The sequence below is a fragment of the Homo sapiens genome, chromosome 9, assembly GCF_000001405.40.
Source record: "Homo sapiens chromosome 9, GRCh38.p14 Primary Assembly".
Taxonomy (NCBI): domain Eukaryota; kingdom Metazoa; phylum Chordata; class Mammalia; order Primates; family Hominidae; genus Homo; species Homo sapiens.
Genome location: NC_000009.12, coordinates 63,368,036 through 63,383,194, shown reverse-complemented (window position 1 = coordinate 63,383,194; position 15,159 = coordinate 63,368,036). Strand labels below are relative to the sequence as shown.

At 42.2% G+C, this 15,159-nt stretch overlaps 2 pseudogenes across 1 annotated transcript in view; one reads left to right on the top strand and one right to left on the bottom strand.

The window, feature by feature from the left end:
* BMS1P10 (BMS1 pseudogene 10) lies at nt 3,183–10,392 on the top strand (annotated as a pseudogene).
* Nucleotides 4,348–15,159, bottom strand: part of LOC100996643 (methylenetetrahydrofolate dehydrogenase (NADP+ dependent) 1 like pseudogene) — a 45,510-nt pseudogene continuing 34,698 nt past the window's right edge. Inside the window, exon 4 of the transcript NR_160665.1 lies at nt 4,348–5,680. The product of NR_160665.1 is annotated as a methylenetetrahydrofolate dehydrogenase (NADP+ dependent) 1 like pseudogene, transcript variant 3 (transcript). The remainder of the gene's footprint in view (nt 5,681–15,159) is intronic.

Below are 15,159 nucleotides of genomic sequence, written 5' to 3'. Positions count from 1 at the left end.
GTTACAATATGTGTATTGTAATATAGTAGTCTACTGGCACCAGTATTTACCACTTCAAAGTGTGGAAACCTGCCTTGCATTTATGTCTCTTTACCTTTTCCACTTGTATAAATCACTGGCTTGAGTAGTACGTGGTGGTATAGTTTTTGTTTCAGTGGTCAAATGTGATTTTAAGAACTGTGGATTGTCTCGTGTATGTATCCACATTTCTGGTCTTTCCTTTGTCCCCCCTCCCATAGTCCCATATTCATCCCTGCTGCATAAGAACTTTCTGTAGCCATTTTTTTATTTTGATTTGTTTGTTTTAATTTTTTGTATTGTGGAAATGACAGAACATATTTCTGTAGCCACTTTTTAGCATTTCTAAATTGACCAGTGACAAATTCCTATATTTTCTTCCTCTGAGAATGTCTTTATTTCTCTCTTCATTTCTGAAGGGTAGTTTCATGGGATATAGAATTTGCAGCCAACGGTTTTTTTGTTTGGTTGGTTTTTTTGTTTGGTTGGTTTTTTTTAAGCACTTGAAAATGTTGTGCCACTTCCTTCTGGCCTCCATGGCATTTGAGTTGGCACGTCCCTACAGGCATTCTGCCATTTTTGCTCTTTGTTTTTAGTTTTGAAAGTTTAATCAGTGTTGCTTTCTTTTGGGATACTTTGAGGTTTGCTCAGCTTCTTGAATCTGTAAGTTTATATCTTTCACCAAATGTGGGAAGCCTCAGGAATTAGTTATTTGCATGCTTTCGCAGCTCTGGTCTCCTGTGGGACTCAGATAACATAAATGCGGGGTCTTTTGTTATCGTCCCACAGGTCCGTGCAGCTCTGTTCATTTGTTTTCAGGTTATTTTCTCTCTGTTGTTTAGACTGGGTGAATTCTGTTGATCAGGTTTCAGCTTCTCTGATTCTCTCCTCTGTCATCTCCACTTTTACTCAATAGAGCCTATCCAGTTAGATTTTTTTTATATTTCTGTTACTGTATTTTATATTTGTGTAATTTCCATTTGATTCTTCTTCAGTTTCTTTGCTGACGTTTTCAGTTCTTTGATTGTTGCCATAGGATTTGTAGTTGCTTGTTGAAGCATTTTTATACTGACTGTTATAAGTGATGAGTCAGGTGGTTCCAACATCTGCCTATGTAATTTTTTTTTATTTTTGCAGGCAGTCCTCCTGTTTAGGTTTAGTCTGTAGGTCTTGGTCTACTTTGTGGGCTGTGATTCCAATGGCAATTTATTTTCAGAGGCTTCATGGTGTTATTTTGGTCTGTTTGGCTAATATGTATCACTGGGATTCTCCCACCAGTCCCTGCTGTTGCCCACCTGAGGGAACAGGGGAGCTGCCCCAGGCTGGGCCACCTGCTGCAGCTAGGTGGGTGGGGAATGGTGGTTGTCTTGGTGTGTGGAGCTGGTTTTCTTGTTGTGGGGAAGATCTCCTTTGATCTGCGGGGACTGAGTCTGCCTGGGTTGCCTTCTATTGCTACGTTGGGAGTTGGGAAACTCTGGGCTTGGGTCACCTTCCTACTGGATGAGATCCAGGGAGACACCTGGACACTATGCATTCCCTAGTCCTAGAGTCCCTCAGCAGCCTTTTTCTGTCCACCTTTCGGGATTCTCCATTGATCATCTCCTGTCTATTATTTCTAGAGTTTGGGTTACATTTCTTAGGAGGGTATAATGTGTTATCTTCTTTAGACCAGAAATCCTTAGTGGTGGTTTCGGGTTGTAACTGTGCTAAAGGGAGAATTGGCGTATTTGTGATGTCAAGTCTTCCTTTTCAAATGAGGACATACCATTATTCAGTATATAATATTTACAACACCTACTTCCTTGGGTTGAAGAATGTGGTTAAGGCAAGGAAAGTACTTAACACAGTGCCTGGTGTGGAGAGCACTTACGAGTGTTGGTAGTGATGCTATTCCTTTTGTCCTTTGGTAGCATATTAAAGCTTTTCTTCTTTTTTAAATAAATAAAGTTCTGGTGCACTTCTTGTTAGGTTTATTCCTATTTTATCCTTTTTTGCTTTTATTACAAATAGGAGCTTCCTATCTTTTATAACGTCTACCTGGTTCTTTGGCCCTTATGTGAAAATGTTTTAATAGCCTTCTAAACATTGCTCTCCCAAATGAGTTTTAACTGGCCTCTTTCTTTTGTTTTCCTTTTTTTGAGACAGGGTCTCACTTTGTCACCCAGGCTGGAGTTCAGTGACACAATTATGGCTCACTGCAACCTCTGCCTCCCGGGCCCCCAAAGTGCTGGGTTTACAGGTGTGAGCCACTGCACCCAGCCTTACTTGTCTATTTCTTTTAAGAGTGGGAACTATAATTGAACCCAGAGCTCCAAAAACAAATGAAGGAATGAATGAGTGAATAAGCTCTTCCCATGGGTTTGGTGTGGTTTGGGGCTCTACTCTTAATCTAAATGCTATGTTTTATATGATCTAAAATTTCCCCTAGGTGTGTTACACGATTGTGTTGTGTTGAACTTACATTGAGACTCCTTTTCACATGTGCTGGTTATCAGCATGGGACTTTTCCATTCACTCTTTGAATTATTCATTTGGGGGACACAGATAGACCTCTGTGCCTTTCATAAAAAGTGTCCATTGGCCGGTTGCAGTGTCTCATGCCTGTAATCCCAGCACTTTGGGAGGCTGAGGAGGGCAGATCACGAGGTCAGGAGTTCGACACCAGCCTGGCCAATATGGTGAAATCCCATCTCTACTAAAAATACAAAAATTAGCCAGGCCTGGTGGTGGGTGCCTATAATGCCAGCTACTCGGGAGACTGAGGCAGTAGAATTGCTTGAACCTGGGAGGCAGAGGTTGCAGTGAGCTGAGATCGTGCCACTGCACTCCAGCTTGAGTGACAGAGTGAGACTCCATCTCAAAAAAAAAAAAAAAAAAAAAAAAAGAAAGAGTGTCCATTATCTATACTGGAAAAATTGAGATTGGGATTTTTGACATGAAGTGCGGAAATGTGGATTGGGTCCATTTAGTTTACCTAAACAGATGATGAAATACTAACTGTTTTACGAAGCATTCCCTAATGCAAAGTTTTGCCTGTGTGTCTAGTGACGGGAACAGTAAGAATGAGGCTTGGAACGCGGAGCGCACTGTGGGCCTGTCGTGGGTGGGGCCAGCAGCACATGCATGCCTGGCTCACAGAGCAGCCTTTGGGTGTTCTTTTCCCAGAGGAGCTCTACGGTGACTTTGAAGACTTGGAAACAGGACGTGCACAAGGGAAAATCGGGCCCCGACACTCAGGTATGACTTTGTCGTAGCTGGCTGTTCTTGGTCATTGTGTTCTGAGAGAGGCCCACATTGAGAAATGCAAATCTTACTTGTGATGTGTGAAGATTGCAGACTGGATGGATAGATTCCTTCCTAAAGGGTGGGGATGTGGGGACCAAAGAGAAGCTTTCTTGTTTACTTATTAAGTTTTGGACGACAGTTACTACCGTTTCTTGCCATAGTCATTTGCCAAGACCACTGTGATTTTTCACTCACAGAAGTCTTAGCTTCTCAGACTTACATTCAACCATTGCCATCATTCTCCTCTTTTTAAATTTAAGTGTCATTTAAAAGAATGAAGTCCCTGTTCTCCCTAATATTTCTTTAGAACAGGGTCTGGGAGCATCTGGGTGAGGGACATGTCTGTTATTTTTATTCTAGTTTGTGTTCCCAGCCAGCTTAAGGAATAGCAGCTAATTGTAATGCAGATGTAACAATTTCCTGTAGCAGTACCATGTTATTCAGAGACAAAGGTTATGTTGTGTTTTGTTTTGTTTTATTGATAATGATAACAGATTTTTGCTAAGATTTTTGTTTAAATAGAACTTTAAAAAATGTAATGTTTAAAGAAAAGACCTTCATAAACATACACAAAATTTTTTCTTCTGGAAATTTAAGAATGAAGATATAGAGAAACAAGGAAGAAATTGACCCCGACGAAGAAGAAAGTGCCAAGAAAAAGCATTTGGATAAGAAGAGAAAATTGAAGGAGATGTTTGATGCAGAATATGATGAAGGAGAAAGCACATATTTTGATGATCTTAAAGGAGAAATGCAGAAAGAAGCACAGGTGAAAAACCTCAGTTCCTCTCAGCCCCTTGTCAAGACTATCACATAGTGCAGGAATCCCTGACTTTCTTTGGGTCCCTGCTTCCTATCCTGCTTCTGTGCCTTTCATTTGGACTCCTGGGTAGATGCATGTGAGTGTATTTATTCATGCAGTGAGCTCATTGTTTCTACAGTCAGAAGATCACCAGAAAAAGATCCATACCTGTTTTGTAACAAGAATTAGGAAACCGAAGTGACTGAGACATGGTCTCTACTTTTGAGACTTTTACAATGTAGTGATCTGAGACAGTGTGTTTATTTCAGTGCAAGCCAATGCTGCCTATTCCGATCGCTGCTCCCTGATTTGAATGGCAGGTGATCAGTGGCCCGTGTGGCTTATGGACACAGCAGAGCTCCCAGGGGAAGTGCTCTGAAAACTCATCCTGGTCAGAGTTCAGAAGGACATGTGGAGTATAAGGTCAGATGCGGAGATAAAGGGAGATGGTGTGGCCCTCCTGCCTGGGGGTGCTGAGCAGGTTGCTGGAGGCGGTGATCTCACTCTGAAGGAGACAGACACAGAAACGTGTGTACAGTTGATGGTGAGCATCTGAGTTGCGTCTTGTTAGTGAGGCCAGGAGTGCCTGTGTAAGCTGGAACAGATTAGGTATATGATTTGTGAAACGGAGTTTCATCCTAGATCTTCATCTAGTCAAAGGACTGTTTCCTGATTAGGCATTAGCTTAGTGGTTGCTAGTCTGTGTTGACCTTTGAAAGGCATGACTAGGCTAACTCTGAAGTTTCTGCTTCACACCATTTACAATTTAAAATTACCTAGAGCCTTGTGGGCCATTGGAAGAGACTGAATGTTTCACTCTGAAATGGGAGTCCTTGGAGGGTTTTGAGCAGAGGAGAGACATTCAGGTAATCAGATCACTCTGCCAAGACATCAGTCCGGTAGAGATCAGTCCGGTGGCACAAACCAGAGGGCTGGCAGTGGAGATGAGACAAAGAGTCAAACCCGGATAGAGTTTATTTGGAAGCTGGGTCAGTAGGATCTCCTGGTGGACTGAATGTGGGGTGTGTGAGGAAATGAGGATGGCGACTGGAAGTTCCTGGAAGGATGGGTTGTTGCAGGTTAGATAGGAAACTGTCTGCAGATGCAGTTTTGGGAAGATGATGTTTGTTTCGGCTGGGTATCATGCAGACAAGCGGAGTGTCAAGTCTGGAGAGACAGGTCTGGCCAGGGACTTAGATGTACAGCCCTCAGCATGTAGATGCCACTTAACTCTGTGAGGTGGCCGGGGAGTGAGTGCAGAGTGACTGGGAGGAGCAAGACTGGCATGGGCGAGATGGGGCGATTGCGGCCGTGAGGCCTGAGCAGTGCCTAGGAGGGAGAGGGAGAAGCAGTGTGAGCCTGCAGGCACGCAGGAGTCCAGTTGTACACGGAGGCGAAACACTTTTCAGATCCCGCTGCAGTGTTAACTATGGTAAAGGCAGAGTTGACCACCGGAGGAGTCCTTCAGCGTGGAGGCCTTCAGCGATCTTGGCAAGCACCAATTTTCATGGATGTAGGAGAATGGGAGCAGAGGAACTGGAGGCTGCAACTGTGGAAAACTTTTGTGGGGTTTTGCTGCAGAGAGAAGCAGAGAAATGAAGCAGTTTTTGGTGGAAGAAGTGGAATCAAAAGGTTTTGAGATGAGAGAGAGAACAGAGGGAAGAGCTGTTGGAATAAAGTCCAGGAAGAGTGGATGGTGTCTAGTGAGCAAGTGATGTGTGGCCCTGAGTAGAGGCATGGACAAATCATCTGTGCCTGAGCTGCCCGTAGAACTTTCTGTGATCATGGAGATGCACATCTGTGCTTCCCAATGTTGTAACACTGGCCACAGGTTGATACGGACCACTTCCAGTGTGACTAGTGTGATTGAGGAACTGCATTTTAAATATTATGTAATTGTAATTAATTTTAATTTAAATAGCCACACATAGCTCCTCTATGGGGCAGGTCAGAGCTCTGATAAGGCTGGATATGGGAGGAAACCCTGGTATAGGGTTGACCGTAGAGGTTCTTTTGGTTTTGGAGTGAATCAGGAAACAGCCATCAGCTGAGTGAAGGTGAGGGTGGTGGTGGGTGTTTGAAGACAAGGGAAAAGTGTGAAAGAATTATTTGGAGAGGAAGGAAAGAAAGTGTGGACTGGGGATGTTTCCAATGTTTGAGCATGCAGGGCTCCACAGTTATCTACATTTGCTGTCCCTTGGAGCAGGAGAGAAGAAAATGGTTGGGACATATTCTGAACAGACTGTAGAGGTAAAATGTGTAGGGTTTTTTTTTGTTTTTTTGTTTTTTGAGATGGAATCTCGCTCTATTGCCCAGGCTGGAGTGCAGTGGCACGATCTTGACTCACTGCAACCTCCGTCTCCCAGGTTCAAGCGATTCTCTCGCCTCTGCCTCCTGAGTAGTTGGGACTACAGGCACGCACCACCATGCCCAGCTGATTTTGGTATTTTTAGTAGAGACAGGGTTTCACCATGTTGGCGAGGCTGGTTTCAAACTCCTGACCTCATGTGATCTGCCCGCCTCGGCCTCCCAAAGTGCTGGATTACAGGCATGAGCCACTGTACCCGGCCAAATGTGTAGTATTTTTAATAGGATAAAGCCTACATAATTCTGTCCACAGTTCCTTTACTTAGAAATTGCTCATTTGTTCATGTTAATCCTATGTTTATTACAAATAACAGCATACAGGTTTTTCCCCCCCAACCCCATCATGTACAGCTGAATCACGTAGAATTTGAAGATCAAGATGATGAAGCCAGAGTTCAGTATGAGGGTTTTCGACCTGGGATGTATGTCCGTGTTGAGATTGAAAATGTTCCCTGTGAATTTGTGCAGAACTTTGACCCCCATTACCCCATTATCCTGGGTGGCTTGGGCAACAGTGAGGGAAATGTTGGACACGTGCAGGTGGGTCCCTTTGCTGCGTATTTGGTGCCTGAGGCTCTGTGGATTTCCCCTCCATCAATCATCTTACCCTCTCATCCCCCTCAGATGCGTCTGAAGAATCATCGCTGGTATAAGAAAATCCTCAAGTCCCAAGATCCAATCATATTTTCTGTAGGGTGGAGGAGGTTTCAGACCATCCTGCTCTATTATATCGAAGACCACAATGGAAGACAAAGGCTTCTAAAGTATACGCCACAGCACATCCATTGTGGAGCAGCCTTTTGGGGTAAAATATGATTACAATAACTTGCCTATTGCCGAGATTAAACTTTACAGGCTGTGTTATTTTAGCTTTGTGCTTTTCCTTTCATAAAATTCCACTCCTAAGATGTTTCTCTTTTCTGGGAGCGGGGAGGTGGTTTGGAGTATATATGTACATCTATATCCAAATCTAAATGTCAATATCCAGTATGTTAAACTAGAATCTAAAATTTCTGGTTTGCTATATTTCTTTTTTTCCTTTTCCTTTAAGACCCTATCACTCCACAGGGAACTGGTTTCTTGGCAATACAGTCTGTCAGTGGCATAATGGTAACTATCTTGGACGATTTCTTTTACAGATTGGTTTGAGAAATATATCCTGAATGTGGGTTATTATGTACATGAGACTTTAAGTTGAAAATTACTCATTTTTATTAATATAAAGTAAATTTCCCTTTGCTTTTAATCTTCGTACATCCTTTTCAGTAGGGTGTGGGATTAGAGGAGGGGAGGTGGAAGAATTATAATGGTACATTTCCTATTTTTATGCATCTTTTGCATTTATTTATCCAAGCAAGTATTTAAGCAGTGCTCACCATGTGCTAAGCACTATATGAGGTTATGAGGAGCCGTCAGAGACCACCCAGACACAAGACTCCCTGCAGCTGTGCTGGGGTAGCAGTCTGTTCACTCCATTTTCATTTGACCAGTCAGGCAGGGCAGGGTTTACTGGTCCCATTTAACAGAGAAGAAAGCAGAATAATGAGCAGATGGAATCTTCCCTGGAGGTCCAAATTTTAATTTCCTAAACATTGCAACTGTATTTTTCTTTTCCATTTCGTTCCAAATAAATCATTATAGTAAAATTACATTCCTCTGAAATCACTCTCAGGAAAGTACTCAAGTAGCCTTTTTTTTTTCTTTCTTTTTTTTTTTTTTTTTTTTTGAGACCGAGTCGCACTCTGTCTTCCAGGCTGGAGTGCAGTGGCACGATCTTGGCTCACTGAAACCTCTGCCTCCTGGGTTTAAGCGGTTCTCCTGCCTCGGCCTCCCGAGTAGCTGGGATTACAGGTATGCACCATCATGCCGAGCTAATTTTTGTATTTTTAGTAGGGATGGAATTTCGCCATGTTGGCCAGACTGGTTTCAAACTTCTGACCTCAGGTGATCCACCTGCCTTGGCCTCCCAAAGTGCTGGGATTACAGGTATGAGCCACTGTGCCTGGCCTCAAGTCACCCTTGTTAGTTTGGCTTACCAACTTTAAAGTTTTGGATTGCTTTTGTCAAACCAATGGGTTGCAAGTTCAGATGGTCTCTCTTGTTTTTCTTAACTAATTGTAAGTAAAATTCACTTTGGTAATTTATTGTGTCACATAGAATTGAAGTTTTTCTCTTGCTAATATTATTCCTATTTTCAAATTTTGGGGCTCCTGTTAGCCTGATTTTCGGATAGCTGCCACAGGAGTTGTCCTTGATCTGGATAAATCCATAAAAGTTGTGAAGAAATTAAAGCTAACTGGTTTTCCATATAAAATTTTCAAGAACACTTCATTTATTAAGGTCTGTATATCTGTATATTCTCATATTTATAAATGTCCATATTGTTTGAGAAAAGGAATGAAATACCTCTAAAATGTGGGCCTCTTATTTTTAGAAAAGTGTTTGAAATCTTTTATAAACTTCATATTTTGTTTGCTCCTTTATATTCTGTATTACTTAAATATGCTCAAAAAAGCAGTGGTAAACAGCTATTTAGGAATTGAGGCTGTTACTCCTGACTTCCATGTGAGACTGCCACAGAACTCATATTGAAAATATGTCATTTTATCCACTAGGTTTTGTTTCCTACTTTTTAAATTGGTGTTAAGAAAGGGAAAAAAATCACAAGTTTGTCTAACTCAGTAGAAAAATCGACAAAGCATTTGCAGACAACTTGGCAAGGGTACAGAGAAATGGATGTACTGTTTTTCAGTATTTTGGGAGGGTGGTTTGAGCAGCATTTATTGACAATTTCATTAGTGGGGATGTTTCTATTGAAAACAGTGTTAGGAAGTCATAAAATGTTCTTGCAATATAAGGTAATAATACCACCGGCGTTTATCTTACTGTTTTCATGTTCTAAGTGCATGCATCTGAGTAAAAGGATCTGGGCTGCAGTCCAGTCTGAGAGATGCCAGCAAAGGCTTCCTAGGCTAATTCAGTCCAGTAAATCCCTCTTCGATCTTCTCTTCCACACAGACAGCAGTGATGAGCATGCCCATGAACTCACATGATTATTTTGGGGAAAATGAAAGAGTTGTATTCTTTTTGAGGTAGTAATTCCACTTTCAGGGGCAAATACATTTTGATTATTTTATCACCCTTCAGTGAGTTGTTTTTGTTCTTTAATCAAGGATGTATGTTTGAAGTAAGAAGTAAAGCATAAAGTATATGATTTTGTGTGTGTGTGTGTTTTTATCTTGCTATACCTGTAGGGAATGTTTAATTCTGCCTTGGAAGTGGCCAAATTTGAAGATGCTGTGATTCGAACTGTCAGTGGGATAAGGGGGCAGATCAAGAGAGCACTCTGAGCTCCAGAAGGAGCTTTCCAGGATAGCTTTGAGGATAAGCTGCGGATGAGCGGTGAGTGTCTTAAGTAGTGTTCAGGGCAGGGTGTTACCATTCATGCTTGACTTCTAGCCAGTGTGACGAGAGGCTGGAGTCAGGTCTCCAGAGAGTTGAGCAGCTCCAGCCTTAGATCTCCCAGTCTTATGCAGTGTGCCCATTTGCCTTGTGTCTGCAGTCCCCTGGCCACACCCAGTAACAGTTCTGTGATCTATGAGAATAGTTTCCTTAGCGAGCTTTCCCTTCAAATACTTTGCAGCCAGGTAGAGAAGTTTGGAGTGAAGATTTTGTTCTTTGTTTCTTCACAATATGGATATGAATCTTCTTTTGAAAACGTTAAAGTAAATTACCTCTTTTCAGATATTGTCTCCATGCGAACTTGGTATCCTGTTTCCATCCCAGCCTTCTATAACCCAGTAACATCTTTGTTGAAACCAGTGGGTGAGAAAGACACCTGGTCAGGAATGTGGACCACGGGCCAACTCAGGCTCGCCCATGGTGTCAGACTAAAGACAAACAAGGACTCTCTGTATAAGGTACTGGTCGTGTGTGTGTTAGTGGAGATGAAGCCTGTGCTCTACAGACAGGGAGTCACACAGACACTTTTCTATAATTTCTTACATACTTTGAATGTTCAAGTATAAAGTCTAATGTTAAATTTGATTGAACAATTGTATATTTGTGGGATATTTTGGAATGGAACACCAAAAAATGGTAATAGTGGTTCTTTCTGGATTGAAGGAAAACTTTTCTTTTTTAAAATAAATTTTATTTTATATATTTGAGGTTGACAACATGATCTTAAAGGATACATATAGATAGTAAACTGGTTACTATAGTGAAGCAAATTAACATAGCTACCATCTCACATAGTTAGATTTTTGTTTGTGTGACAGGAACAGCTAAAATCTACTTATTTAACAAAAATCCCAAAGACAATATATTTTTATTAACTATGGCCCTCATGATGTACACTAGATCTCTAACTTGTTCATCCTACATGTCTGCTACTTTGTATTATTTTAATGTACATCTCCCCATTTCCTATTGGTCATTTCCTATTTGGCCCATTTTTCAACTGGGTTGTTTTTCTGCTCTTAAGTTGTAAGAGTTCTTTACTGATTTTTGGATATTAACACTTTATCAGATATGTGGTTTGCAAATATTTCTTCCAGTCTGTAGGTTCCCCTTTCATTTTGTTGGTTGTTCCTTTGCTGTGCAGAAGCTTTTTAGTTTGATGCAGTCCTCCTTGTTTATGTTTACATTTGTAGCCTGGCTTGTGGTGCGATATCCAAAAAATTATTGCTAAGGCCAATGTCAAGAGGCTTTCCCCCTATGTTTTCTTCTAGGAGTTTTATGGTTTCAGGTCTTATTTGGGTCTTTGGTCTTGTATCTGTTTTGAGTTGATTTTTGTGTATGGTGTATGATCAGGGTCCAATTTTATTCTTTTGCATGTGAAAATCCTATTATTGAAGAGACTATCTTTTTTACCATTGTGTTGTCTTGTTTGCCCTTGTCAAAAATTAGTTGACAGTATATGTTTGGATTTATTTCAAAGGTCTCTGTTACGTTCCATTGGTCTATTTTTTTGTTTTTATGCCAGCACCATACTGTTTTGATTACTATAGCTTTGTAATACAATTTTAAATCAAGAGGTGTGATGCCTCCAACTTTTTCTTTCACAGTTATCTGTTGGCTGTTTGGGGTTTTTTGTGGTTCCATAGGAGTTTCAGGATTGTTTTTTCTTTTCTTTTCTTTTCTTTTTTTTTTTTTTTTTTTTTTTTTTTTTGAGGTGAAGTCTCACTCTGTCACCCAAGCTGGAGTGCAGTGGCATAATCTCGGCTCACTAAAACCTCTGCCTCCTGGATTCAAGCAATTCTTCTGCCTCAGCCTCCCAGGTAGCTGGGACTACAGGCACATGCCACTATGCCCGGCCAATTTTTGTAGTTTTAGTAGAGACAGGGTTTCACTATGTTGGCCGGGCTCGTCTCCAACTCCTGACCTCATGATCCACCCGCTGCAGTCTCCCAAAGTGCTGGAATTACAGGCGTGAGCCACTGTGCCTGGCCAGGATTGTTTTATTCTGTTCTGTGAAGAATGTCATCAGAACTTTGATGAGGATTGTGTTAAATCTGTATATTTGCTTTGGGTAGTGTGAACATTTTAACAATATTAATTCTTCTGATCCATAAACATAGGATGTCTTTCCATTTGTTCATGTCTAGATTTCTTTCATCAATGTTTTATGGTTTTTAAGTGTACACATCTCTCACCTTCTTGGTTAAATTTATTCCTAAGTTTTTGTTTTTCTTTGATGCTATCGTAAATGAGATTATTTTCTTGATTGCTTCATCAGCTAGGTTATTTGTATACAGAAATGCAACTGATTTTTATATGTTGAGTTTATACCTTGCAGCTTAACTGAATTGATTTAGTAGTTCTCACAGTTTTTTGTGGACTCTTTGGAGTTTTTTACGTAAAGGATCTTGTCATCTGCAAATAGAGATAATTTTACTTCTTTAATTTAGTTGCCTTTTTTTTCTCATCTGATTGCTCTTGCAAGTACTCTATTGAATAAAAGTGATGAGGCTGGCCATCCCTATCTTGTACTCAATCTTAGTGGAAAAGCTTTAGTTGTTCCCCACTAACTATGATTAGACTGTGGGTTTTTCATAAATGGTGTTTATTATGTTGAGGAACTTTCCTTCTATACATAAACTATTAAGAGGTTTTATCAAGAAATGTTGCTAAACTTTGTTAAATGCTTTTACTGCATCAATTGAGGTGACCATGTCATTTTATCTTTCATTTTGTTAATGTGATATATCACATTGATTGATTTACATATTTTAAACCAGCCTTGCATGCCAGGGATAAATCCCACTTAAACACGATGTATAATGTTTTTGATGTGTTGTTGAATTCTATTTGCTAAAATTTTTTTATGATGTTTGCATCAGTATTTAATTTATTGGAGAAGTTGACCTGTAGTTTTTGTTTGGTGTGTGCGTGTGTGTGTGTGTGTGTGTGTGTGTTTGTGTGTGTGTGTGTGTGTGTGTGTGTGTTTTGGTTTGGCTTAGGTATTAAGGTGATACTGGCCTGGTAAAATGTGTTTGGAATTATTTCCTCTCACTCTGTTTTTGCGAAGAGTTTAAGAAGTAAACTCCCAGGGGATGGGAGTGACTCTGGACATGGGAGTGACATGATAGTGACTCTGGACCCTGCAGTGGTGGGACACAGCAGCATCTCAGTCTATGAAAGGCCAGGCACAGCATCAGCAAGGACCCCAGAATGGTGGAGCACTACTGTGGCTTGGGCCCTCGGGGGCAGGGACCAGTACAGCAACTACTTCTCTCCCTGGGGAGGCAGGTGCCTGGGCAACTCAGATTCTCCAGGGCTAGTCCAGTTCCAAGGAAGCAGGGTTCTACAGTTGTTTGTCCTGAAGGGCAAGGTACCCCAGTTCAGCCAATGCCGTTTTCCTGGGATATGGGGGTGCCATGTTGGCTCATCCCTGGCAGGTGTGGCTGCTCAGCTCAGCCAAGACACTGATTCCCTGTGAAGCAGGGCAGTGCTTCAGCTCTCGTGCAGTGGGGGGTGTGACTGCTTAGACTGGCCAAGACACTGATTCCCTGGAAAGCAGGGCACCAAGTCAGCTCAGGCTCCAAGGGGCAGGGCACAATGGCAGCTGGGAGGGGAGGGGCACAGCAGCGTGGCCCCGCAGGTGGGGTGTATGCTGTGATGTGGACATCATTTGTTCCCACCAGCCATTTGAAATTTCATCCATTTGAAATTTGATTCCAAATGTGCTGGTGTGGGAGGTGGGGCCTAGTGGGAGTTATTTGGGTCACAGGGCAGATCCTTTATGAATAGATTAATGCCTTTTCATGGGACTGGATTAGTTACCAGGAGTGGATTGTTATCAGAGTGAGTTCAGCTTCCTAGACTCTTGTGTTTCCTCTCTTGCCATGTGAGCCCCTTGCATACACCTGTTTCGTCTTCCACTTTCCCCATGAGATGAAGCAGCACAAGACCCTCACCAGTTGTGCTGCCTGATCTCGGACTTTTCAGACACAAGCAGGGTGAGCCAAATAAACCTTTTTTATAGAATAAGTTACCCCGAGTCTCAAGTATTCTGTTACAGCCACACTAAATGGCCTAAGACAGTGTAACAGCGGCTCGGGGGTGGTGGGCCACTAGGTGGGTGTGATATAGAGCAACAAAGCCTGAGGATGGAAGAAGGGTGCGGTGGCTGCTCACCCTGGGTGGGACATGCTCCCGAAGTGGTCCAGGTCCAGGAGGGCACGTTGCAGCAGCAGCTGGTCCATGGGGGTGGGGCACAATGTCAGTTCCTTCTCTGAGGGGAGTGCTGGGGCTACTGGGCCCCTCTTGCTTCCTTATCCCTGCAGGGAGACATCCCCTCTGCTTCAGGCTGATCCCTCTGGGGGAATGGGTGGTGGGGGCCAGATGTTTCCTTCCCTCCTTTACGTGACCGTCCTGTTTTCCGGGCTCTACTGGATTTCTGCTACTCCTTGATGCACTCTGGGGCTCTCCTTTAGTGACTTTCATCAAAATATAGCTGTTTGCTGCTTTGGCTGTCTTTGTCAGGGGATGAGTGCAAGGGGCTATTGATCAGCCCTTAGCTGGCATCACTCCCTCTTAAACTTTTCACTGGATACTCTTTTGAACTATTTTTCCCCCCACCATATACATGTATTTTTTAAACGTTAATGTGCTAATTTCTACTAAAGCAATGTGGATTTTTCTGAAAGCTTTAATGTTTTAATAAGCTTTTTATTGAAATGTTAATGTACATACAGAAGAGTGCCCGAATCATAAGTGTGCATCTAGATGAACTGTAGCACACCAGGCTGCCACGCCCTGGACCAAGCAGTAGCCTTGACCTGTGGCCTCTCCCAGGCACTGCTGCCCCAACCCACAAAATAGCTACTTTCCCAGTTCCTGATGTAGATTTGTTCTGCCTGGTTTTGACTTCTATAAAATACAGCACATTCTATTTAGCCTGGCTTCTTTGGTTCAGTATTACAGAACACATCCATGTTCTTGTCTATGGCAGACATTGATTTATCGTCATTGTTGAGTTCCATTATATGACTGTGTCACCATTTTTCCATTGATGAGTAAAATGATTTCCTATTTTTGGCTGTTATCCCACGGCCCTGAACAGTAAGTCTGCATATGGGACTTGCAGGTATGCAGGGGCACACCCACTTCTGCTGGAGGATCCCTGGGTGGGGTGGAGACTCCAGGGCACCTGTGCTCTGCTTCAGTGTGGAGGCTTCTGT